Consider the following 22790-nt stretch of genomic DNA (forward strand, 5'->3'; position numbering starts at 1 on the left):
TTTAAGTTCAAGGATTGAAGGACAGGGTCCTGCCACCCTGATGGGCTGAGGCTGCAGCTGTGGGCAACCCCTCAGGTGGAGGTGAGGCTTTCCCTGAGAAAGAAGTCAACCTGCATTTAAACAAGACCCTTTTATACCAACAGATCAGACAGCAGATGGAAGAACAGGTTGCTCAAAAGTCCTCTGAACTGGAACAGTATTTACAGCGAGTACGGGAGCTGGAAGACATGTACCTAAAGCTGCAGGAGGCTCTTGAAGATGAGAGACAGGCCCGGCAAGATGAAGAGACAGTGCGGAAGCTTCAGGCCAGGTGCCAGATTTGTTTGCAGACTTTGCCTTTATGTACTTTGCCTGGGCTAATACAGTTTCTTGGAATGACTAACACTCTGGTGGAGAGGGAGAAGTGTCTCTGCTCTGGCTGTGACTGAGCTCGAGGTGCTGTCCAGATTAGAAAGACTGTGGAGACTCGACCGGCTGGAGTGTTTCTTTTCATTCTGAGGCGCTGGGAAACCCTTGCTTCTGGGGCTAAATAAGGGCCTATTTTAGAGCAGTCTGGTAGGTATGTTTGATGAGGTACCCTTAGTCTTATTCGAGAAAATCCACAAACCCAGAATTACCTCTGATAAGAGCTTGGCATCTTCAACACGCTCCAGACCAGAGAGGGCCATTGGTATGCAGGCAGAGGCCTGTTCAGGCCAACGTTGCCGTCAGGTTTTGAGGAATAAGGAAGAAATATGCAGTTTCTATTTGGTCATTCAGGATTGGTAACATTCCTTCAGTAATTACTACTTGAAATCCTAATTTTAAAAGTATTTGAAACCTAGATTTTTTTTCCCCTTAGAACTTTATGATAGTCATGTTCGCAGATGAAAATTCTCAATTTTGGGCCTTCATGGCAGCAGGGAGGACAAAATAAAATGAAGACTCCCAAAGGGAAAAATTGAGCCTATCCTCTGCCAGTTTCTACTTTGCTGCCCCATTTACATTATTTAAGGTGTCTGGGATGGGAGACAACACTAAAAAGTATTCACTACAGTAGCAGCACAGGGTCCAGTCTTTGATCTCTGACCCCCTGTTTTGGGGAGCAGTTATGAGATGAGCTAGGGTAGATTTTCCATGGCTGCCATTTTACATGTGGAGCAGCAAAAGATGTTTCTTTAATCTTTAGATAGGAAGAGAAAGAAGAAGCCATCTTTAGTTGTATATTTTGCCAAAAGTGACTTCAAAAATAAATAAATTGTTTTGGACATTTAGATTTTAAATTTAAATTTTTTTAAGGAAAAATTATTTTCTAAATAGAAAATTAAGCATGTAGCATATTGCCAGGCATATATAGGCCCCACAGGTGCACATTCACTGCACTGTGAGGTTAATCAGGTTCTTGGAACTCCCCTCCAGTGCCACTCGGCAGTGATTTTAGCAGAAGAGTCACTCTACGGGAATGTTTGAGTGCCATGTGACGTCCAGAGTGACGTTCTACATGACACTCAACATTTTTTGAGCCACCTCATAATTTGAGCCGTGTTGAGAGTTAATAGATTGTTTTTGTGCAAAGAATTCGCAGGTGAAATATGCTATATGTATTACTGCAGTTTTGTGGGAAGTTGATTATGACACAGCAGAGACTAGATCACAGAGGGAACCAGATAATTCTAGAAATACTAGTCTTAGTTATTTAGTGTTTATAGAATGAGTGATATTTTGAATAAGGGATAATTTTGGATAATTGAAGCCAGTGGTTTTTTAACCAATGTTATGTATCAGAATCACCTCACAAAGCTTCTGAAAAATACACCACAAAGTGTGGCTCACCCACCACACTTTGGGAGGCCGAGGCTGGAGGATCACTTGAACCCAGGAGTTTATGACCAGCCTGAGCAACATGGTGAAACCTCATCTTTAAAAAAAAAAAAAAAAAAAAGTCTACTTGGGAGGCTGAGGCAGGAGGATCACTTGAGTCCAGGAGGTTGAGGCTGCAGTGAGCTGCATTTGCACCACTGTACTACAGCCTGGGGGACAGAATGAGACCCTGTCTCAAAAAAAACACAAAACAACAACGGCAAAAAACTCCAGCTAATTATTTTGCACACTCTGATTTAAGCAATAGCAAAATGGTTTCAACCTTTTGAATCCAGATGTAACTTCTACATACAGCTCTGATCCAATATGCTGAAAGTACTGCACACAAATTTAACTTTTTCTTAATGTGCAAAGGGCATTTTATGAATATAATTATTTTATTATTCTAAATTTTTTTTTCTCTTAGTTTTTGGAACCTGAAATGGACAAATTTGCCCCCCTGCTCCCTTTTTTTTTCTGAGATGGAGTCTTGCTCTGTTATCAGGCTGGAGTGCAGTGGCGTGATCTCGGCTCACTGCAATCTCCGCCTCCTGGGTTCAAGCGACTCTCCTGCCTCAGCCTCCCGAGTAGCTGGGAGTACAGGCGCGCACCACCACACCTGGCTAATTTTTGTATTTTTAGTAGAGATGGGGTTTTGCCATGTTGGCCAGGATGGACTCCATCTCCTGACCTTGTGATCCGCCTGTCTCGGTCTCCCAAAGTGCTGGGATTACAGGCATGAGCCACCACGCCCGGCCTAGTGGTCATTTTTAAGTGAAATGTGTTCCTCTTTCCTGAAGTCACTGAAGGCTGTGGCTGATTCAGAGGGACTTTCTGTCAGATTGGCAGAGAGGGTTTGTTCTTTGCTCCTCAGGATAGGCCTTTCTGGATAGAAAAATCAAGGGAAGTCATCCTGGAGTTGGGTTGGAAAACTGGCACTAATGAAATGCACATAATCTTACGCCAAGGGCCTGTGTAAAAGGCTGCTCAGTTAACTCTTCTCACTCCTTTTTTTTTTTTTTTAATTTTATTATTATTATACTTTAAGTTTTAGGGTACATGTGCACAATGTGCAGGTTTGTTACATATGTATACATGTGCCATGCTGGTGTGCTACACCCATTAACTCGTCATTTAGCATTAGGTATATCTCCTAATGCTATCCCTCCCCCCTCCCCCCACCCCACAACAGGCCCCGGTGTGTGATGTTCCCCTTCCTGTGTCCAAGTGTTCTCATTGTTCAGTTCCCACCTATGAGTGAGAATATGCGGTGTTTGGTTTTTTGTTCTTGCGATAGTTTACTGAGAATGATGATTTCCAATTTCATCCATGTCCCTACAAAGGACATGAACTCATCCTTTTTTATGGCTGCATAGTATTCCATGGTGTATATGTGCCACATTTTCTTCATCCAGTCTATCATTGTTGGACATTTGGGTTGATTCCAAGTCTTTGCTATTGTGAATAATGCCGCAATAAACATACTTGTGCATGTGTCTTTATAGCAGCATGATTTATAATCCTTTGGGTATATACCCAGTAATGGGATGGCTGGGTCAAATGGTATTTCTAATTCTAGATCCCTGAGGAATCGCCACACTGACTTCCACAAAGGTTGAACTAGTTTACAGTCCCACCAACAGTGTAAAAGTGTTCCTATTTCTCCACATCCTCTCTAGCACCTGTTGTTTCCTGACTTTTTAATGATTGCCATTCTAACTGGTGTGAGATGGTATCTCATTGTGGTTTTGATTTGCATTTCTCTGATGGCCAGTGATGGTGAGCATTTTTTCATGTGTTTTTTGGCTGCATAAATGTCTTCTTTTGAGAAGTGTCTGTTCATGTCCTTCGCCCACTTTTTGATGGGGTTGTTTCTTTTTTTCTTGTAAATTTGTTTGCTCACTCCTTTCTTAAAGCAACAGCCGATCATTCGTGGAATATTTGGAATCTCATTATTCTTTTAATGGATAGTTCTTTCTCTGTCAGTCTCTTAAAAAGACAGTGTCTTAAAAAAAAAGAGAAACTTTTTATAGTAAATTGTTTAAATGAAAGACAAGAACTTTAGCTTGAAACACGTAGATCTTGTAATTTTTTTTTTTTTTTTGAGACGGAGTCTCGCTCTGTCACCCAGACTGGAGTGTAGTGGCGTGATCTCGGCTCACTGCAAGCTCTGCCTCCCAGGTTCAAGCCATTCTCCTGCCTCAGCCTCCTGAGCAGCTGGGACTACAGGCGCCTGCCACCACGCCCAGCTAATTTTTTGTATTTTTAGTAGAGACGGGGTTTAACCGTGTTAGCCGGGATGGTCTTGATCTCCTGACCTCGTGATCCACCCGCCTCGGCCTCCCAAAGTGCTGGGATTACAGGCTTGAGCCACTGCACCTGGCCAGATCTTGTAATTTTAAAAATTACGATTGAAGTTTTTTATTAACTTTTAATTTTTGTGGGTACACAGTAGGTGTTTATATTTGTGAGGTACATGAGATATTTTGATACAGGCATACAATGTGTAATAATCACATCAGGGTAAATGGGGTATCCATCACCTCAAGCATTTATCCTTAGTCTTACAAACAGTCCACTATACTGTTTTAGTTAGTTTTAAATGTACAATTAAATTATGATTGACTATAGTCACCCTTTCTGCTATGAAGTTTATTTTTTTATGTGTAATCCTGAAGGTGATCTAGCCACTTCTGAATGAGAACTCAGAAGAAAACTGTTCATTTAAAATGTAGAATACTCAAGTTATTGGCCGGACATGGTGGCTCACGCTCTAATCCCAGCACTTTGGGAGGCTGAGGCGGGCGGATCCCTTGAGGCTCGGAGTTTGAGACCAGCCTGGCCAGCATGGTGAAACCCTGTCTCTACTAAAAATACAAAAATTAGCTGGGCGTGGTGGTGCATGCCTATAATCCCAGCTACTCGGGAGGCTGAGACACTTGAATCCAGGAGGTAGAGGTTGCAGTGAGCTGAGATTGCACCACTGTACTCCAGCCTGTCTCAAAAAAGAAAAAAACAAAAAAGAAAAAATTAAGAAAAATCGAGTTATTGGAAAGTTCTTGAGGCTGAGCCATAATCTGTCCTGTTGTAACTCTTACCCACTTTGGATCTGTAACACCCTGGAGTACACCTTAGTCGTGTCTGTATTCCCAGCAACTCGTACCTGGCACACAGTAAGTACCCAGGGAAATTTTTTTGAATGAATGAATGGATCCAATGGGACCACATGGAACAACAGTCCCTCTTACATTTGATATAATACTTTTCATATATTTGAAGGTTAGAGACTGGGCTCTGGAATGAGGCCACGGTTTGATTCCTGGCTCTGGTACTTTTAGCTGTGTAACTTGAGAGAATGGCCAACTTTATACAGTTGTTGTGAGGATGAAATGAAATGATGCATGCAGAGTGTTTTAGAGTAATGCCTAGCATTTGGGAGTCACTCCGAGTGTGTTGCTTTCTGTTCCTTTATCTCATTTGCAGACGGGGAAGATATATAATGTGTGGAATGTAAAAATAAGCATTCAGAAAAAAGATGTTGACAGGCTAGAATGATGATTTTAGACCAAGAAGCTAATTTAACATATCAAAAGAACAAGTACAGGATCCAGGAGACTTGGCTTTATAGAAATTCATTTGAAAAGTTCTACAGTTTCATTTCCCTGAAATGTGGTTGCCAAAACCCTATACACTCTTAGGCAGCCTTAATGAATGTGAAGTGTCCAGAGCAAATGAGATAATTGTCCCTCTATAATATGAGCTGTTACCTACCAGTACTTGCTGTGTGGTAGGCATGTAAACACCTTATGTGCATTATCGCATTTAATACACTAATAAACCTTTGATGGTAGGTGTAGTTTCTATTCCTTTTTTGATAAATGAGGAAGCCGATACACAGAAAAAGAGTGAGGCACTGAAGTCTTTAGTCAGGAGTCTTACTTGCGAACCACAGAAACCACCTTGTATTAGCTAAAGCAATAAAACAATTTGTTGAAAGTTTCTTAAATAGTTTGCCAGTTCCACAGAAAGGCAGGTGACCAGGCCTTGAACACAGGCAGGAATCACAGGGGGATGAGCAGCCCCAACTACAGCCCAAGCCAGGCCATGGGAAGAGTCCAGTGAGGATGCCGCTGGCGCCCATGTTGGTACCAGGCATCAGCAGTGCCATCGCTCCTGCTGTCACTCAACACTGCATATTACTGCCACCGGCAAGATGAATTCTCTACTGGCTCTGCTTCTTTGTGCCAGGTGCTTCAGAGTCAAAGTTCCAGAAGGAGCATCTACATAGCCAAGCCCAGCTTGTGCCTCCACCATACCCTAGCTGCCAAGGGGTGGGAGGGCAGGTGTCTGGCCTGTGGATTCTATAGCGGGAAATGAGCCCTACCTTCCATCAAGTCTTCTACTATGGCAGTTCCCCTAGACACATGAAGGAGTTCAGAGGCTGGGCAGCCTAAGCACCTGGAAATGTCCATTCCCCCTCCATACTTTTACCACTAGAATGAAAAAACAGACCCATCCAGTCTTGTTCATTCTTATATCCCCAGTGCCTAGAAAAGCACGTAGAAGGCACATAAAAAATACACATCAACTGAGTGAATAAACTCTGCACTGGTCAGACCACATCTGTAGTGTCGTGTTCTGTTGTGTACATCAAACTCCAAGAGACATCTGAGGAGACCTCAGTGTCTCCAAAGAAGGATATTGAGTCTGGAAGCTGGGTCCCATTAGTTAAGGCTGGAGGTGGTCTTCTTGGAGAAGGATGTTCTCAACAGGCAACAAAGCTGCCTTCCAGTTGCGAAAGGGCTATCACAGGGAAGAGGGAGTAGATACTTCCTTTGTGGAACTAGGGTAGTGGATGGGAGAACTCATCTTAGTATAAGAAAAAACTTCGTAAGAATTGAAGCTGCCCATAAATAAACTGGCCCAATTTGTGAGGCAACGAGTGGTAGCCCATCACCTAGAGTATTGGAGCTGAGTTGAATAACAACCTTGCAGGAAGTTGTAGAGGGAATTTGGAAATTGGTGTTGGTATAGTCTGTTACTTTATTCCTTTGTTGTTAGTTTTATAAGAGCAGATGCTGGCAGGTAGTAGTAACTGACCAGTCATGTGACTTGACTTTGTTACCATAATATTGTTGCTCAAGCCACTAGATATGTATCCTGTCCTTGGCTGGCATCGAACGACACTATATACACTTTAATGCAGGTTTTGGCTGTTTGTTAGTTTATTTAAACAACTACATAGCTGGGTATTCCCAGATAGGTATTCCTGTTATTTTGGAGTCACACAGACCTGGGTTAAAATCCATTATAACCTGTGCAACATACTTTTAAACCCTTTGGTTTTTCATTGCTTCATCTGTAATGTAGGGACAATACCTTTCAGGATTGTCAGGGGATTAGCAATAATGGAGGCAAGGGCCTGGCATGTAGCAATTGTTCAATAAATAGTATCTCTATTCTGTCTGCGTTCACTCCTTTCTTCATCTTCATTATCAGCTTTTTCCATGGTAACAGGTTTTTACTAGATGAAAATGTTTTCATGTTGTAGCAACCAGGCAAACTTCAAATCTTGGCCCTGCCACCTGGCAGGTGGATGATCCTAGTACAGGCCACTGAACCTTTGTGTCTCACTTGCACCATCTCTAAAATATGAGTAGCAGCACCTAAATTTACTGTGAGGATTAATTGAGAAAATACACTTGACTCTTAGGCCAGTTCCTGGCACACATTAAACTCTGGATAAATGTTATTTTTTATTTCACAAACGGGTGAAACTGAGAGAGCTTAGAGCAGGACATATAGGCTGCTTTACCAGCTTTGTGAATATGAGCTTCTCTGGCTCCTGCTTTCCTCCTGGTGGAATGAAAGGGGGATTAGACGACCTCAAATATTCTCTTGTCTAAAATGCTTCCCTCGTCTGCTGGGTCAGGGTGGTGACCTGGGCAGGATTTGATCTGGAGCTTTCCTCCACATTGTAGGTTGTTGGAGGAAGAGTCTTCCAAGAGGGCTGAACTAGAAAAGTGGCACTTGGAGCAGCAGCAGGCCATTCAGACAACCGAGGCGGAGAAGCAGGAGTTGGAGAATCAGCGTGTCCTGAAGGAACAGGCCCTGCAGGAGGCCATGGAGCAGCTGGAGCAGCTTGAGTTAGAACGGAAGCAAGCACTTGAGCAGTACGAGGTAATGAGACTTGGCCCTGCAAACTTGTATATTTAAATTTTTGAAAAACATTTCTCAATAATAGAATTATTTGCTTAGCTGCCAATATGAAGCTGTAGTAAGAATCTTGCTTAGCTGTAAGAAAGAAAAAAGAGGGAGTTTTTACAGGAGATAAGATATATTATACATCCATCAGAGACAGAAACTGCACAGTAATTTGAACAGGGAAAGTTTAATATAAAACATTATTAACTGTCATAGGAGATTACCTACTGTGTTGTAAAGAAGGCTTTGAGAATGCAGGAACAGCAGACGTAGGGAGCAGCCACTGCCTCGAAAACTGAGGCAGAGCACCAGGGAGGGAGTGGATCTGGAAGAGCATTCTTTGCTTCTTGCCCCTTAACCCCAGTGTTGTGATCCATACCTCCATGGAGAGGGTGCACAGATGGCAGAAAAGTTTGTTGAGGTGCTGTGCCAGCAAAGCTCACTGGGAGGCCACCGGCAAAAGCTGCCCACAGGGAGGTGCTACAGAAACTCACTGGTGGTGAGCACTGTGGGTGTTCTGAGTGCCACAGGAGCCGCTGAGTGGAACCTAGAAGAAAAGTCCCTCCCTCCTCGTGTCCCTTCAGCACCCTCTACTGACAAAGCTTTATGCTGCCAGCTAGTGAGGAGAATTATTTTAGTTTCACCAGCAGGACAGTTCAGGGTGGATTTGGAGTGGAGAGGCAGTAAACTGTAACTGGCACACAGGGCCATACACCCATTGTAATTCGTATGCAGATGGTGGAAGAATAGGCTTTGGAATCAGACAGCCTGGGTTCCAATTCTGGCTCTACCATTTCCTGCTGTGTGACTCTCGGCAGGTTACTGACCTTCTCTGAACCCGTTTTCACTCTGTACAATGGGGTAATAGTAGTTCCCACTTCTTAGAATGGGCTATGAGAGGATTTAATGAGATAATTCACAAATACATAGTAAGGGCCCAATAGTTGTGATTTGGTTCTTAAACTACCCGTGTGTCTGCATAGTCCAAAATCCACTTTTGTTTCAGGAAGTTAAAAAGAAGCTGGAGATGGCAACTAATAAGACCAAGAGCTGGAAGGACAAAGTGGCCCATCATGAAGGATTAATTCGACTGATAGAACCAGGTAACAGACTCTATGAAGTAATCATATATTTATTTTTATTTTTCATTTTTATTTTATTTAATTAATTTATTTATTTTGAGATGGAGTCTCGCTCTGTCGCCCAGGCTGGATGGAGTGCAGTGGTGCGATCTTGGCTCACTGCAAGCTCCGCCTCCTGGGTTCATGCCATTCTCCTGCCTTAACCTCCCAAGTAGCTGGGACTACAGGTGCCCGCCACCACGACCGGCTAATTTTTTGTATTTTTAGTAGAGACGGGGTTTCACCGTGTTAACCAGGATGGTCTTGATCTCCTGACCTCGTGATCCGCCCGCCTCAGCCTCCCAAAGTCCTGGAATTACAGGCGTGAGCCACCACGCCCTGCCCATATATTTATTTTTAAATTTATTTTTCTGTTTCACTTGTGTATTTGAATTGTACTAAAGAAACTTTTTTAGCCCAAATGTAAAAAAACCAAGCTGTTCAGGATAAATTTCTCTTGAAAATCTTATCCCCTAATAGGTAAGAGGGCCCAGTTAATCCCCTTGGTATACATCTTCTAATTGTTTTAGCTGGTATGACATTTATGCATGTTCCTCAAAGAAGAAATAAAGTAGGGAAGTTACTATTTTGTCTGTAGAAAAATGATGGGGTATCCTGAAGAATATAATACTTCCTGTATTTAAAGCATGTTTGCCTCTTAGGTTCAAAGAACCCTCACCTGATCACTAACTGGGGACCTGCAGCTTTCACTGAGGCAGAACTTGAAGAGAGAGAGAAGAACTGGAAAGAGAAAAAGACCACGGAGTGACTGAGCTTGCTGGCAGTCACGTCAGTTATGTAGATACTGCATGGCAGGAGAGCTTTACGCTAAAGACAAAAGAAACAGCTTTGGGGGCCGGGCGTGGTGGCTCACGCCTGTAATCCCAGCACTTTGGGAGGCCGAGGCGGGTGGATCACCTGAGGTCAGGAGTTCAAGAGCAGCCTGGCCAACCTGGTGAAACCCTGTCTCTACTAAAAATACAAAAAAAATTAGCTGAGCGTGGTGGCGGGCGCCTGTAATCCCAGCTACTTGGGAGGCTGAGGCAGGAGAATCACTTGAACGTGGGAGGCGGAGGTTGCAGCGAGCTGAGATCATGCCGTTGTACTCCAGCTTGGGCAACAGAGTGAGACTCCATCTCAAAACAAAACAAAACAAAACAAAACAAAAAAACCCGGCTTTGCTGCTTTTAACTCTTCTTCCTTCTGTGCCTCTCTAAGTGGGTCAGTATCCTAAGGAAGCCTTCTTATTTATCTTCCTGCAAACAAGGGTTACCTGAAAAGAAAAAAAAAGTCAACATTGTCAAGCTGTTTGTTTACTCTTTCTTTGAAAACATCACCTTCTGAAATTTGTCTTTTAGCTCTCTCAGATTCTTCCCCAAATGAGGCAGGGTGCAGACAGCACAGTCAGCTCTGCAGAGTTTGGAGGGGCTCACTGCCACTGGGTACTCAGAACCTCTGTGGACTGGATGTCAGCTCTTTCCTTTGGCAGCGTGTTTCCTTTTCCGAGTATGTGCTGTTAAACTAGATTGGCCGGTTCGCTTTCCATTTCCTGACACTTGACATGGAATGCCTTTGACCATTGGTGCTCTGACAGAGAAGTCATGGAGTCATTGCCATTTCCTGGTTGCCCTTTTGGAATGTGATCCTGTTAGTAGAGGTTTTCTAGCTTCTACTAAGATATTTCTTTCCCTAACCATCATACACTTGGCATGTTTCATTCCCATCTCCTTTCCCCTCACCTTAAAGGAGACTACCCCTTTGCCCCATATTGTCAACCTAATTTTCTCTCGTACTCTCTCTAGTGAATGATGTGCTACCAAGTATATGCCAGGCTGTGAGAGGATTATACTGAGTAGTAGAAAGAAGCTAATTTGAAATAAAAATTATTTGTATAATTAAGAAAGCAGATTAGATGCACATGGTCAACAGGAAGTTGACTGTATGTCTGCTAGTTAGATTCAAAACATCATAAAGATGATAGCATGTCAATATATTAGCCTAGCCATTATGTTAGCCTTTGTTAGGTGGGCAGCTTTTCTGCTTTTTCCCTTCCTCTGTGGTGACAACGGAGGAAATATCCAACAGAAATACGTCTAACAGGGAAATTGGGATCATAGTTTATATGCATCTGATTTGAAAGGAGTATTGAGGAAGGTTTTCATATATGATCTATCTTTGGATTAAAAAGAACATTTATGAAATCAAGCCTTCTAACACTAGTTATAATTGAGAAGCAACAGTAACTCCGTGGACAGCAATCAAGCTTAAAATTGTAAATAAATATGGGGATAATTCAGTTGTTGCAAAAAAAGGGCAGAATTCAGTAGAATAAAGTCCTTTTCTCTTACAGGTATTAAATGAGGACAGAGAACCTCAGGTGTTCTTATGCTAGTGCTTGCTGAGTGCATACTAAGAAAGCAATTCCAAATAGATGTATACATCTAGAGAGAGTGGTATTAGAGATTCAGTGTATGTATTTATTTACATGAGAGGAAACTGGAATATAATCCCATAAATTATCACCTTTTATGACTGGAAAATATTTGCCAATGAAGAAATGGTCTGTAGGTATTTGTCTTAAGATTTTTGGCTGTTTAATAAAAATGTAACTTTAACGGTTTCTTATAGTTGCCTTTATAAAGTGTATTGTCTAAAATATTTTTGTATCATGTGCCTTTGAAATTTGACAGCTGATTTGGGTGTTGGATTTCTGCCCAGCCATTTATCAGTATTATCATTTTATTCAGTAGCTGGCAGGTGTATTAGACCAACGAGACTTAGGTAAGGAATGGAACCTTTCCTGTGGTTTGACTGCACATTACACCAGAAGACTCCAGTATCCCTCATTCCAGAATGAGGAAAAAGTATTCTACAAAGAACCTAATCACCTCTGTGAAATCTATGGGATGGAAACAGTGTGGCCTTAGGAGTCAAATAGTCTCTGCATGGTGGGGAGGATCATGATGGAATATGTGAATTTCTACTTCTAGAAGTTGTGAAATAGGTCCTGCACTTTTGCAGAATGTCCTTCTTTAAACCTGGCTTATTCCACAGCTGTAGCTGATAACATGACCTGGGGCTTAGCTGCTCTAGCCCTGGGTTCTTGGAGACCTCACACTGCCTGGCCCCTGGCCATCCACCTAAGGACTGCCTGCTTTCTGGTCACATGTGGACCTTGATACGACTAAGCGGTTACATATGTGGTTGTGCAAAAGCTTTCTGTTTAATGCATAGTGTTACCGATTTACATCTTGGTTTTCAGTGGCACTATGTCTAGGAGGCAATATCCTTTTAAACAGTGCTTTGGCTAAGATAGATACTTGTGAATCAAAGATAGCACAGAAATGAACTAAGTATATCCCATTTGGAATTATATTTTGATACTATTTAAAATGGTTTCACCTGTTAAAGGGCCAACAGAACTCTTGGTTTTACTTTTGTAATTACTGTACAGAAAATTTCAAGAGTGTTTGAGTGCTTGTCATCAGGTGTTTTCCTTAATAAGTAGGGATATGATCATTTACAGGAATTATATATGAAAAAAGTTTTTGAAATGTATTTTTGTGATGTGCTATGTTGAGGGGAAACCAAATATTTATGATTTTAAAACATTCGTATGAAAACATTGTACAATGTAATATGCTCAACTTTCTCAATTTTTTGCTAATTTTTCTAAGATACATTAAAAATGTTTTATATTTTTTTTTAAGTAAAATGGACCCAGTAAGAAAATTAAAAATACCAGAACATACACTTTAAACTGTCTGATTTAATAAAACAGTGGGGGGTAAAGTTGGGTGTATCTATGTGTATTTTCATATAATGAGATGGACTTTGGTTTAGGGACATTTCCTGAAAACACTGGGTTTGGAGTTTAGACCCCAAGAAGTTAGCTGTGGCCTCATGTTTGGTGTTTGAGTCACGAATGTGGGGAAGCCATGGCTGATGTGTCAGCTCACAAACGGGAACTTACAAAGATGATTTCTCATTCATTGTTGCTGTTACCTTCAAATTTTCTTACCTCTGTTTTCCTTAGTTTTCTTTTTATGCCTTTCAGTTTTTCTTTCACCAGAGTAAACCGTGTGGCTTTTTGTTTGTTTGTTGTGGTTTGCATTGTTGCCAAGATAAAATGCCTGTTGTGGACTAAGTGGGCCCACTCAGGCCAGCTTGATTGTATATTGGAAAGCTGATCTTTCCCTCTTGGAGGGAGGGAGAGGACACTGGTTGGTGTGTTTAAAAACTGTTCTTTCTGAGGCGGGCAGATCATGAGGTCAGGAGATCGAGACCATCCTGGCTAACACGGTGAAACGCCGTCTCCACTAAAAATACAAAAAAATTAGCCAGGCGTGGTGGCGGGCGCCTGTAGTCCCAGCTACTCGGGAGGCTGAGGCAGGAGAATGGCGTGAACCCGGGAGGCGGAGCTTGCAGTGAGCCAAGATCATGCCACTGCACTCCAGCCTGGGCGACAGAGGGAGACTCCGTCTCAAAAAAACAAAAACAAAAAACTGTTCTTTCTCTATCACAGTGGTTCTCAACTGGTGGTAATTTTGCCCTCCAGGGGACATTTGGCAACGTCTGGAGACATTTTTTGTTGTCACAACTGGAGGGAGTGTTGCTGGCATCGAGTAGGTAGAGGCCAGGGATGCTGCAAAACATCTTAAAATGCCCAGGACAGCCCCCATTAACAATTATGTGGACTAAAATGTCAGTAGTGGCAAGGTTGAGAAAACCTGCTCTACAGAAAGGCAAGTTCTATTATCCAGAACACAATATAACCCTTGGAGTCAGGGTTTCCCTTTCAGATGTCCTAGGAGTTGACTGACCTCTTCAGTGCAAATGAGGAGCACCTGGAAGGGAGAATGCCTGTTTCTCTGTGAGCTGGCAGAGAGCAGAGGGCAGGGACCTCTGACACACCCAGAGCCTCTGGAGGGGGTTGCTTTGGATATATTTTAAAAGACTATGATGCAAGTTGCTGAGGCATGAAGTGTAAAAGCTGCCTTAACCCTGATTTCTTTCCAGGTGGTGAAACACAGGGTGGGTCTGTCAGCACCATTTAGCAGCTTGTGAGGAATGAATTTTCAGATTTGCCACTCAGGTAGTGATGTGTCCCGCACAGCGCTTGTGCTTGTTCTAACTGGCCAAGCTTTAATTGCAACCTTCTGGGTAGTTCCAGCAAGGCACAGCTGCCCTAGTGGGGTGAGGATCAGGTGAATAAGATCAAGACATATGAAAGCGTGGGAAGAGGCACTCCTCAGCTTTTACAGTGCAGAGGAGGTGCTCCAGATTTGTTAAAGGATCAGTTTTGGGAATAGTTTATGGAATCTCTATTTCTTTCCTCTCTTTCCCCCTCTACTCCTTTTTTATATATTAGAGACTGTAATAATCACCTCCCTACTTCCTACTTGGCAATATCCACTAAAGCTAAAAACAACAGCTACCCTCCGGCCCAGCAGTTTCCACTCATTTCAGAGAAATGAGGCTGATGTCCACCAAAAAACTTGTATAAGAAGATTCACAACAGTTTTATTATAATGGCCCCAAACCAGAGACACTCAAATATCCACCAGTAGAGAATAGACAATTGTATTTCCAGACAATGGATACTACACCTAAATTAACATATTACAGAGAGAGGCAACCCGGCTGAATCTCACGGACATCTTGAGCAAAGAAGCCAAACACAAAAGAGCACATACTATATGATTCCTTGTATATTAATTTCCAAGACACACTGCTAATCGGTGGATTTAGAAGTGAGGGTGGGAGGCGGGTGGCTGTAAACTGGGAAGGGACACACTTGAACTTTCTGGGATGCTGTCAATGGGTGGTGGTTACACAGGAAAAAACAGCTTCACACCCAGGATTTGTGCAGTTTACCGTCTGTAACTGCAGTGCCTCTAGAAGCCTGAACTGGCTCACCTTTAAATTTTTTTTTTTTTTTTAAGAAGTCTCGCTGTGATGCCCAGGCTTGAGTGCAGTGGTGTGATCTCAGCTCACTGCAGCCTCTGCCTCCCAGGTTCAAGGGATTCTCCTGCCTCAGCCTCCCAAGTAGCTGGGACGACAGGCGTGTGCAGCACAGCCGGCTAATTTTCGTATTTTTAGTAGAGGTTTCACCATGTTGGCCAGGCTGGTCTCAAACACCTGACCTCAATGATATGCCCTCCTCAGCCTCCCTAAGTGCTGGGATTACAGGCCTGAGCCACTGCACCTGACCTCACCTTTCAATTTCAGATAAGGAACTAGAAGGTGACACGTGAAATCTGTACCGGACTTCTAGGATGCTGTTCATTACACCACCCACCTCCTCTCGGGTCCTGATTACATTTTTATGTCAAACATTTAATTTCTCAGTGCCCCATCACCCAGCTAGTGGCCATGTGCCACCCCTACATACAGAGGAGGGCCCTGACCCTTTCTAGTCCTGTGCTCAGCTTCCATTGAGTCTTCTGAGGCTGCCGAGTCTTTGGCCCTGGGTAGTGGATACATCTGTGGTGGACACTAAATTCCAAGCAGGGCTACACTCAGCCTCCTTTTCCTGTTCCCACCACACACAGGCAGTCCATGGTCTCTTAGGATTGTGCACCCACAGGAATGCAGGCCTTTGTGTTTATATCCCCCTCAACAGTTCACAAGGGCCAGCTGAGGTCCAGCAGGACTTCAGGAGTGGGTAGACGAAAGCTCTGTCTAGCAAACCCCATTCTGTTCAGTCCCCAAGACCCGCAGCCCACTGCCCCCTCCTCCTCCTCATCGGAAGTCCTCGTTTCCTGTCCCATTTCACCCTGCCTCTCCCCCCTCCGACAACACTTTCTGCTTGGACCAGCAGCCCATGGGGGTTTCAGGGAGCAGTCTCCCTGCCCCACTTTCTGCATTTTCCCTCTGCTCTCAGGTTCCCTTTTCTTCCTGATGCATGGGACCAGGACGATCCTGAGCAGCTCCCCTGGGAAGACTGTTCCCCCCACAGGCTGGTTTCAGGGGATACCAGGACTGCTGCACCTCCACACTCATGTTTTCCACTCCCCTCAAAGTCCAGGCTGATAGGAGAGCAGCGTTACTGTCCAACTCTGCCAAACGTGTGTCTCCATTCCCATTTGGAGGGTGTGTCTGGAATCCTTGTTTACAAGGTGTAGAGGTGGAAGAGTTCATCCCAGAGCCCCATGGCCCTGTACACCTCACTGCAGTTAGCTGGAAGATGGTTAAAGCAGTGAGTGACTTTTTTTCTAGAGCTGTTGCCCTCCCAGCCTGGGCTACAAACAATCAGTGCTTGAATCTTCCTGCCTACCCCCACCCCAATCAGGCCTTTAGGGCACTAAGTTGGAAAGGAGCCTGGACTTCAGAGTCAAACAGGCCTGGGCTCTACTGTGGTTTTACCTTACTGTGTCATCTTGGGTGGGTTAGGATACTGTACAGGTGATGTGTCCTCAGGGTGTCACACCTGAGGCACCTGGTGTTTTGTCTTCATGCATGTTCTTTAGAAAGTCACGTGGAGGGGGTTTTCCATCTGGGCTGGGCCAGGCCACTTAATGGGCCTGTCGCTGGTGGGCTGGCCGGTTCTGAGAAGATCTGGCAGGTGACTGCGGTTGGTCAGCCATTCAAGGCTACTACTGGAGAGTCCGGGAAATACCTCAGGTGCTCTCTGCATTTCCACAGGCAAGTCTGTAACTTCTGAGGTGTCCTGCAAAGGCAGGTAGCTGGCAAATCTGTGAATGGATGAGTGCACAGAGGAGGTCCCAGGTGAGGGTGACAGCCCAGCAACACACTTCCCCAGTCACACCTGCTCTTTGGAAGGTTCCAGCAAGGCTGTGGAGAGGACCCAAGGGCCTGTGACTGCCACCTCCCAGTAGACCCCAAGGACCTCCAGCCTCTGCTCTCCCCTCAAGGGTCCTGTCGCTCCCTTGGTGGCCATTAGCTGTGGTGGCCAGAGCTGTTCTCCACTCTACCTCCCAGGGCCTCTATCAGCAGCTGACGGTTCCTGCGGCTTGTAATGTTCCTGCTGATCTGCCTCACTCACTACCCGTCACCGCTGATGAACTTTCCCAAAAGTCAGCCCAGAACTCCTTAAGGGAAGGGGCAGCCTCGTTGTGGTAGTTCCAGCACCCTGTACCAAGCAGGTTCTTAGTAAATGCTGACTGTTGAGTGGCCCCTTTCTGAAATAAATTCCTTGTTCTCAAATATATCCTGGATCTGGTCCCCTTGGGTCCAATCAGCGCTTGAACCAGACAGCAATGACTGACCACCTCTACTCAAGAGTTTCTGGTTTATTTGGAGCCTCTACCCCACCCAACCCTAAGGCTGGGAACCCTTTTGCCTTCCTTTTTTCTTAAAGGAAGTTAATCCCAGCACATGTGAAAGATGGACCATCCATCCCAATGCCTCATGTCCTGGGCTTCATTTCTCCATTTCTCCCAGGGCACCCTGGGAGTCTACATGCAAACAGAGATACTAGAAAGTTAACTTCCGGAAACCCCCTTGATAGGCCAATTCGTCCCCTTTTCTCTCTCTCCATGTGATTTTTTTTTTTCAAAAAATATCTTTTGTAGTTTTTTTTTCCTTATCACCAATACATACCCAATGTGGAAAACTGAGAAAAAGCAGGTTTGTAAAAAGAATAAAATGCTTCGCCATAATCTCACTCTGCAGACAACCTACAATGGCAAAAATCGCAATTAATTTTGCACCAACCTAATACTAGGATTTCAGTGCACAGCCTTCCAGGCCTACATTTAGGTTTGTTTGAAACAGGAACATGCGGTTCAACCGCCAACCTGAGCCCGCGTCCCCTAAGGCCAATACCACCATCCTGACCCTCCTTGGGAGGTCCTGAAATGACCCCAGTTCCAGGGGCAACGAAATGCATACGCTTTCGAGGGAAGGAGGGGAGGAAACGACCCTGTGGCGCAGGTCTGCACGGCCAAGGGGGTTCCCTGAGCTGGTGGAGCGGCGTGGCGTGGCCTAGGAAGTCCCTGGGCGAGGGAGGCGGGGCGCGGCGTGGTGGGGGCGACTGGGTGGTGCAGGCCTGCGCACGCGCGCAGCCGTGGGCGGGACGGGCGGCCTGGGGGCTTCGCCGCCAGGTGGCAGGCGTGCGCCACGCCCGCAGGTTCCAGCCCCGACCCGGGCGCGCGGGGCCGACTAGGGTCGGGTCCAGTGTGCGGTGGTCGCTCCGCTCCGGGCCGCTCCGCTCTGGGCGTCAGGGCGCGGGGAGCTGCCCCGGGGTTCTGTCCACCGGGGAGGAAAGCCACGAGCACTGAGCGCCTCCTGAGAGCCAGCCCTGACGTGAACTCATTTTATCTGCCACGACCCAGAAGGTGGGCGCAATTTTCCTATGTTCCAGGTGTGAAAAGTGAGGCTCAGGGAGCTAGGCAGTTGCCCAAGGGGACACAGCAGTGACGGCTCTGGGACGAAGCCCAGGTGTCCAGACGCGATGGCCTCTTCCCGCGTTCTCGGCGGGTACGGCGCGCCGCCTGCCTGCGGCCCGCGGGGAGGTGGTCGGGTGGCCGCCCCGGCTCCTCCTCGGGCCCCTGAGGATTTCCGGCCGGGACCCCGAGGAGGGCCCTGTGGCCTTGCGGCATCCGTGGTCACGATTCCAGCCCCACACGGCCTCCCGCCAGTCCCTGCGAGTGCCCAAGACGGGGCCGCCCCTCCCGTCTCCTCCCTTCTCTCCCCTCCCCGGCGTCTCCCGCCGAGGGCGCTGCAGGCGGCCTGGTTGGGATGAGGGCGGGCAGGCGGCCCACAAGCAGGGGCCTGTTTCCTGACTCGTTTGACCCTGGCTGTCCCTGCGGAGGCCCCAGCAGACCCAGCAAGGTCATCTAGGGCGAAATTCCAGTCTGAGCCCTGAGCAGTGACTTAAGTTTTCCCGATAAGGCTCAAGAAGGGACACAGATTGTCCTCCCCACACCCCGCACTCTGTCAGCACCTCCACTCTGGTGAAGCCTCTGCTGCAGACAGCCCGGCTCGAGAAGAGACAAAGATAGACTTGGGACAGATAAGGACAGAGACAGCCAGGGAGAGAGGGGCAAGGAGCTCAGAGGTGAAGATGGGGCCGCGCCGATGGGGAGGCAGCGGGTCTGCGGCCGCCGAGATGGGAAGTGGGCCCTGGAGCGGGCTTGCCGAGCCTACGACCGGGGCTGGGATGTTGGAGGAAGACGCGGTCATGAGGGCTGAAAAAGAAGGGGTTTTTGGTATGGTAGAAAAATGGATTGGGCTGGCAGCTCGAAGGCCACAGCCCTGTACCTCTGGGCCTGGTCTCGTGTGTGCACCTGGGACCGGTGGGTGAGGGGTGATGTAGAGTCAATGAGGGACGAGCTCGCTGAGTCTCCAGGAGGCAGGAGTGGAGAGGGCGAGGGAGGGAGGGTAGGACCTGTATACCTACGGTGGAGGGGGCAGGCGGGGGACAGATGCTGCTGGGCCAAGACTACTGAGTCTCTCCTGCCTGCTGGAGGTCCCTAGCTCAGGACTTATTCCATGCACACTCTGATAGAATATTTACGCCCAACACTAACTGTTTGGCTTGGCAAATAAGCAAAGCCATAAAGTCACAGCTGGCCTGTAGGCTCCCAGTCACCATGTGCAGCTGAGTCACAACCACTTCCCCCACCCCCTGGGGAGCAAGCGCCTATGCTCATGCCTGCACTCAGACACATATCCACACAGATACCCACAGATGCCGCGTGCCACTGAGTCATAGCTACCTCCTCAGAGAGCACGTGCCTGCATGTACTTGCACACAGGTCCCCACAGATGCCATATACACCTGAGTGTGAGTCATCATCACCACTGAACCCTGAGGGAGGGCACCCAGAGTGTGTTCTGCCATCCTTGCTTAGAGATACCCATATACACACATATACAGATATGTGCCCACCACACATCCTGTTGTACCTGCTGCATCATACCAGCAGATCAATAAATGTTTGTGGAATGAATGAATGAGTAAACAAATGAATGAACTAACAAGTGAAAACGTGAGTGACAACCACACTGCGTGGATACTCAGTAAAATTGGTTGGGGCAGCCCTGCGGGGTGGGTCCCAAGCTCTGTGTCCAGAAGGAGTTGTCTTGCTCCAAATATATCCTCTGTGGGCGGGCAGGGAGCCAGGGCTGCCTCCCAGACCCTGACTTCACTGGGCCGGAGGCCCAACCTCTGAGGAGTTGAAGAAAATTAACAAAGAAGAGGCCCTGGCTTTCTGTAGCCAAGGCTGAGCTGTGAGATGAGTTGGTGGGGGCATGTGTACTCTGGAAATACCACTTACTCAGAGACCTGAGATGCAGGACAGAGTGCTCTGCTGAAGGGCCCAGAGAGGACTGGTTCTGGATTGGGCTTCTTGGGAACTCTGCCCCAAATGTGCAGAATGTGCAGGAGGCCTGGTTCCACTTGAGATCTGGGGCAAATACAGTGCTTGGGCTGAGCTGGTGATTGCAAAACTGAGGCCCCCTATTAGACAGTTTTCCATCTAGGCCTGCCCTTCTGGCTTGGGCTTGTTCCCAGAGCTGCTTTCCTGTCTCTCCCTTGAATCTTCTTTTCTGAAGCCCCTGTGTCTCTGCCCTAATTCATCATCTGGAATATTTTAATATTACCCCAACTGGTCTTCCCGCCTTTAGACAGTAAGACCTATCTATCTTGCTTATAGCTGTCAGAGTTATTTTTCTAAAATACAGGTCCAACTATATAACTTTCCTGTTCAAAATCCTTCCATAGCTTCCCACTTTTCAGCATTAAAGTTGGATGGCCTCAGCCCTGTGATGAGATCCTTCATGACCTTACTCCCCTCTACCTGGAGGTTATGAAAGGGTAACATGTGGATGGATAGTTGTTGGTTATATGGATCGATGGGTGATGGGTGGACTCTAGGATAATGGATGCTTATAGGGATGAATGGACTAGTGGACTGATCTGTAGACAGATGATTAGAAGTATAAATGATCAGTCAGGCACGTTGGCTCATGCCTGTAATCCCAGCACTTTGGGAGGCCGAGGCAGGCTGATCACCTGAGGTCAGGAGTTTGAGACCAGCCTGACCAACATGGTGAAACCCCGTCTCTACTAAAAATACAAAATTAGCCAGGTGTGGTGGTGCATGCCTGTAATCCCACTTACTTAGGAGGCTGAGGCAGGAGAATCGCTTGAACCCAGGAGACAGAGGTTGCAGTGAGCTGAGATTGCACTATTGTACTCCAGCCTGGGCAACAAGAGTGAAACTGTCTCAAAAAAAAAAAAAAAAAAAAAAAAAGAAGTATAAATGATTAGGAGGGCATGTAGGGTTGGAGAGATGGGTGGATGGATGGTTGGAAGGATACTGCTCAAGTCAAGGTTGTTTTTGTTGCAAGGAACAAAGAAAACTCCAAATGTTTTCAAGAATGAGGAGTACAATTGTGAGAATACAGTGGACAACCTTGCAGAGAGCACTGACATTCAGGCCTCATGAAGATTGGAACTGGAAAGTCAGGAACGGTGGCTCTTCTCTCCGTCTCCCGAGGACCTCAAGGTTCCTCTCTTTCTCACATTTCTCTGTACTCATTCCTGTCTCAGCAGGCTCCCTCTGCTCGATTTTCTTGCTCATGGTCTACTCTCAGCCACTCTTACTCATTCCTTCTACAAGTTTTTACCAAGTGCTTATTTATGTGACTGTTTGTACCTCAACAAAGCTCCTACGTGTTGAAAAATAGCAAGCAAAACAAAGTTGCTGCATTTATGAAGCATACTTTCTAATGAGGAGAGAGAGACAGTAGGCAGTTACATGTGTGCTGACGTTAAATGCTATGGAAAAAATAAAGCAGGGAGCAGTTTGGGGAGGGGTTGGGTTTCTGCTGCATATAGGATACTCAGAGGGGGTGTCCCTGATATGGTCATATTTGAGCAGAGATCTGAAGAAATTGAGGGGGTGAGCCGTGAAGATATCTGGGGGAAGAATGCTCTAGGAAGAGGGCGTGGCAAGTGCAGTGGTCCTGAGGTGGGAACTGTGTGGCACTGTGTGAGGAACATCAGTGAGGCTGGTGTGGCTGATGTTGTGTGAACATGGGGAGGATGGTGGAAGATGAGGTCAGACGGGTAGCAGAGGACAGATCATGAATTGTGTTACAAGCCATTGTGAGGACTTAGACTTTTACTCCAAGAAGGAGGGGAGGCATTAGAGGATATTCAACAGAGAAATGACATGATCTTAGATTTTAAAAAGGACCTCTCTGGCTGCCGTGATGAGAATAGACTGAAAGGGACAAGGTGGGAAAGGGAGACAGACAGGGAGACCACTTAGGAGGCAACTGCAGAAATCCAGGTGAGAGATGTTGGTGGCTTGGACCAGGGTGGCAGTGGTGAGGGCAGTGATAAGTGGTCCAGTTTAGGACGTATTTTGAAGGTAATCAGGATTTGCTGATGGATGGGATATGGGTGCGACCTCCCTCTGGTGAGGTGGCCCTGCTCAAATCAGCTGTGGACAAGGAGGATACGTGGTATAGTGTGGCTGTCTAGCTCCACCCTCCAGCAGAGGCAGCTTGACATTTGTCTTGGATAATGAGGGCTAAATGCAGGGTTGAGAGTCACGCCCAGCAGCAAAGCTGTTTCTGTCTGAACTGTAAGGTCACTCTAAATCCCACTCTTTCAAGGCAGGTATATTCAGCAGGCTTAATTGAAAA

General features: G+C 46.2%; 1 protein-coding gene and 2 long non-coding RNA genes across 4 annotated transcripts in view, besides 6 other annotated features; 2 read left to right on the plus strand and 1 right to left on the minus strand.

The window, feature by feature from the left end:
• SWAP70 (switching B cell complex subunit SWAP70) overlaps positions 1 to 12956 on the plus strand; it is an 88917-nt gene extending 75961 nt beyond the window's left edge. For both annotated transcript variants that reach the window (NM_015055.4, NM_001297714.2), the window contains 4 exons: positions 144 to 310; positions 7821 to 8019; positions 9050 to 9146; positions 9827 to 12956. In NM_015055.4, coding sequence (NP_055870.2) covers positions 144 to 310; positions 7821 to 8019; positions 9050 to 9146; positions 9827 to 9933 — 570 coding nt within the window. In that variant the 3' untranslated portion in view covers positions 9934 to 12956. The remainder of the gene's footprint in view (positions 1 to 143; positions 311 to 7820; positions 8020 to 9049; positions 9147 to 9826) is intronic.
• Positions 419 to 538: an enhancer, noted in NCBI's record as "active region_4423". NCBI's record gives its function as "activates an Ori minimal core promoter by ATAC-STARR-seq in GM12878 lymphoblastoid cells {active_cell/tissue: GM12878}" and the evidence as "EXISTENCE:reporter gene assay evidence [ECO:0000049][PMID:35858748]".
• Positions 5382 to 5431: an enhancer, noted in NCBI's record as "active region_4424". NCBI's record gives its function as "activates an Ori minimal core promoter by ATAC-STARR-seq in GM12878 lymphoblastoid cells {active_cell/tissue: GM12878}" and the evidence as "EXISTENCE:reporter gene assay evidence [ECO:0000049][PMID:35858748]".
• Positions 5622 to 5671: a silencer, noted in NCBI's record as "silent region_3136". NCBI's record gives its function as "represses an Ori minimal core promoter by ATAC-STARR-seq in GM12878 lymphoblastoid cells {active_cell/tissue: GM12878}" and the evidence as "EXISTENCE:reporter gene assay evidence [ECO:0000049][PMID:35858748]".
• Positions 12957 to 14732: 1776 nt separating the features above from the next.
• Positions 14733 to 19496, minus strand: LINC02709 (long intergenic non-protein coding RNA 2709). Its single transcript, NR_033972.1, has 3 exons — positions 19392 to 19496; positions 17730 to 17806; positions 14733 to 16861 (listed from the first exon to the last, which is right to left on the minus strand). It is a non-coding gene; the product is annotated as a long intergenic non-protein coding RNA 2709 (long non-coding RNA).
• Positions 16535 to 16594: an enhancer, noted in NCBI's record as "active region_4425". NCBI's record gives its function as "activates an Ori minimal core promoter by ATAC-STARR-seq in GM12878 lymphoblastoid cells {active_cell/tissue: GM12878}" and the evidence as "EXISTENCE:reporter gene assay evidence [ECO:0000049][PMID:35858748]".
• Positions 18066 to 18465: a silencer, noted in NCBI's record as "silent region_3137". NCBI's record gives its function as "represses an Ori minimal core promoter by ATAC-STARR-seq in GM12878 lymphoblastoid cells {active_cell/tissue: GM12878}" and the evidence as "EXISTENCE:reporter gene assay evidence [ECO:0000049][PMID:35858748]".
• The window catches only part of SBF2-AS1 (SBF2 antisense RNA 1), a 53027-nt gene continuing 48492 nt past the window's right edge, over positions 18256 to 22790 (plus strand). Inside the window, exon 1 of the long non-coding RNA NR_036485.1 lies at positions 18256 to 18466. This is a non-coding gene — a long non-coding RNA (SBF2 antisense RNA 1). The remainder of the gene's footprint in view (positions 18467 to 22790) is intronic.
• Positions 18586 to 18705: a silencer, noted in NCBI's record as "silent region_3138". NCBI's record gives its function as "represses an Ori minimal core promoter by ATAC-STARR-seq in GM12878 lymphoblastoid cells {active_cell/tissue: GM12878}" and the evidence as "EXISTENCE:reporter gene assay evidence [ECO:0000049][PMID:35858748]".

The sequence above is a fragment of the Homo sapiens genome, chromosome 11, assembly GCF_000001405.40.
Source record: "Homo sapiens chromosome 11, GRCh38.p14 Primary Assembly".
NCBI lineage: Eukaryota > Metazoa > Chordata > Mammalia > Primates > Hominidae > Homo > Homo sapiens.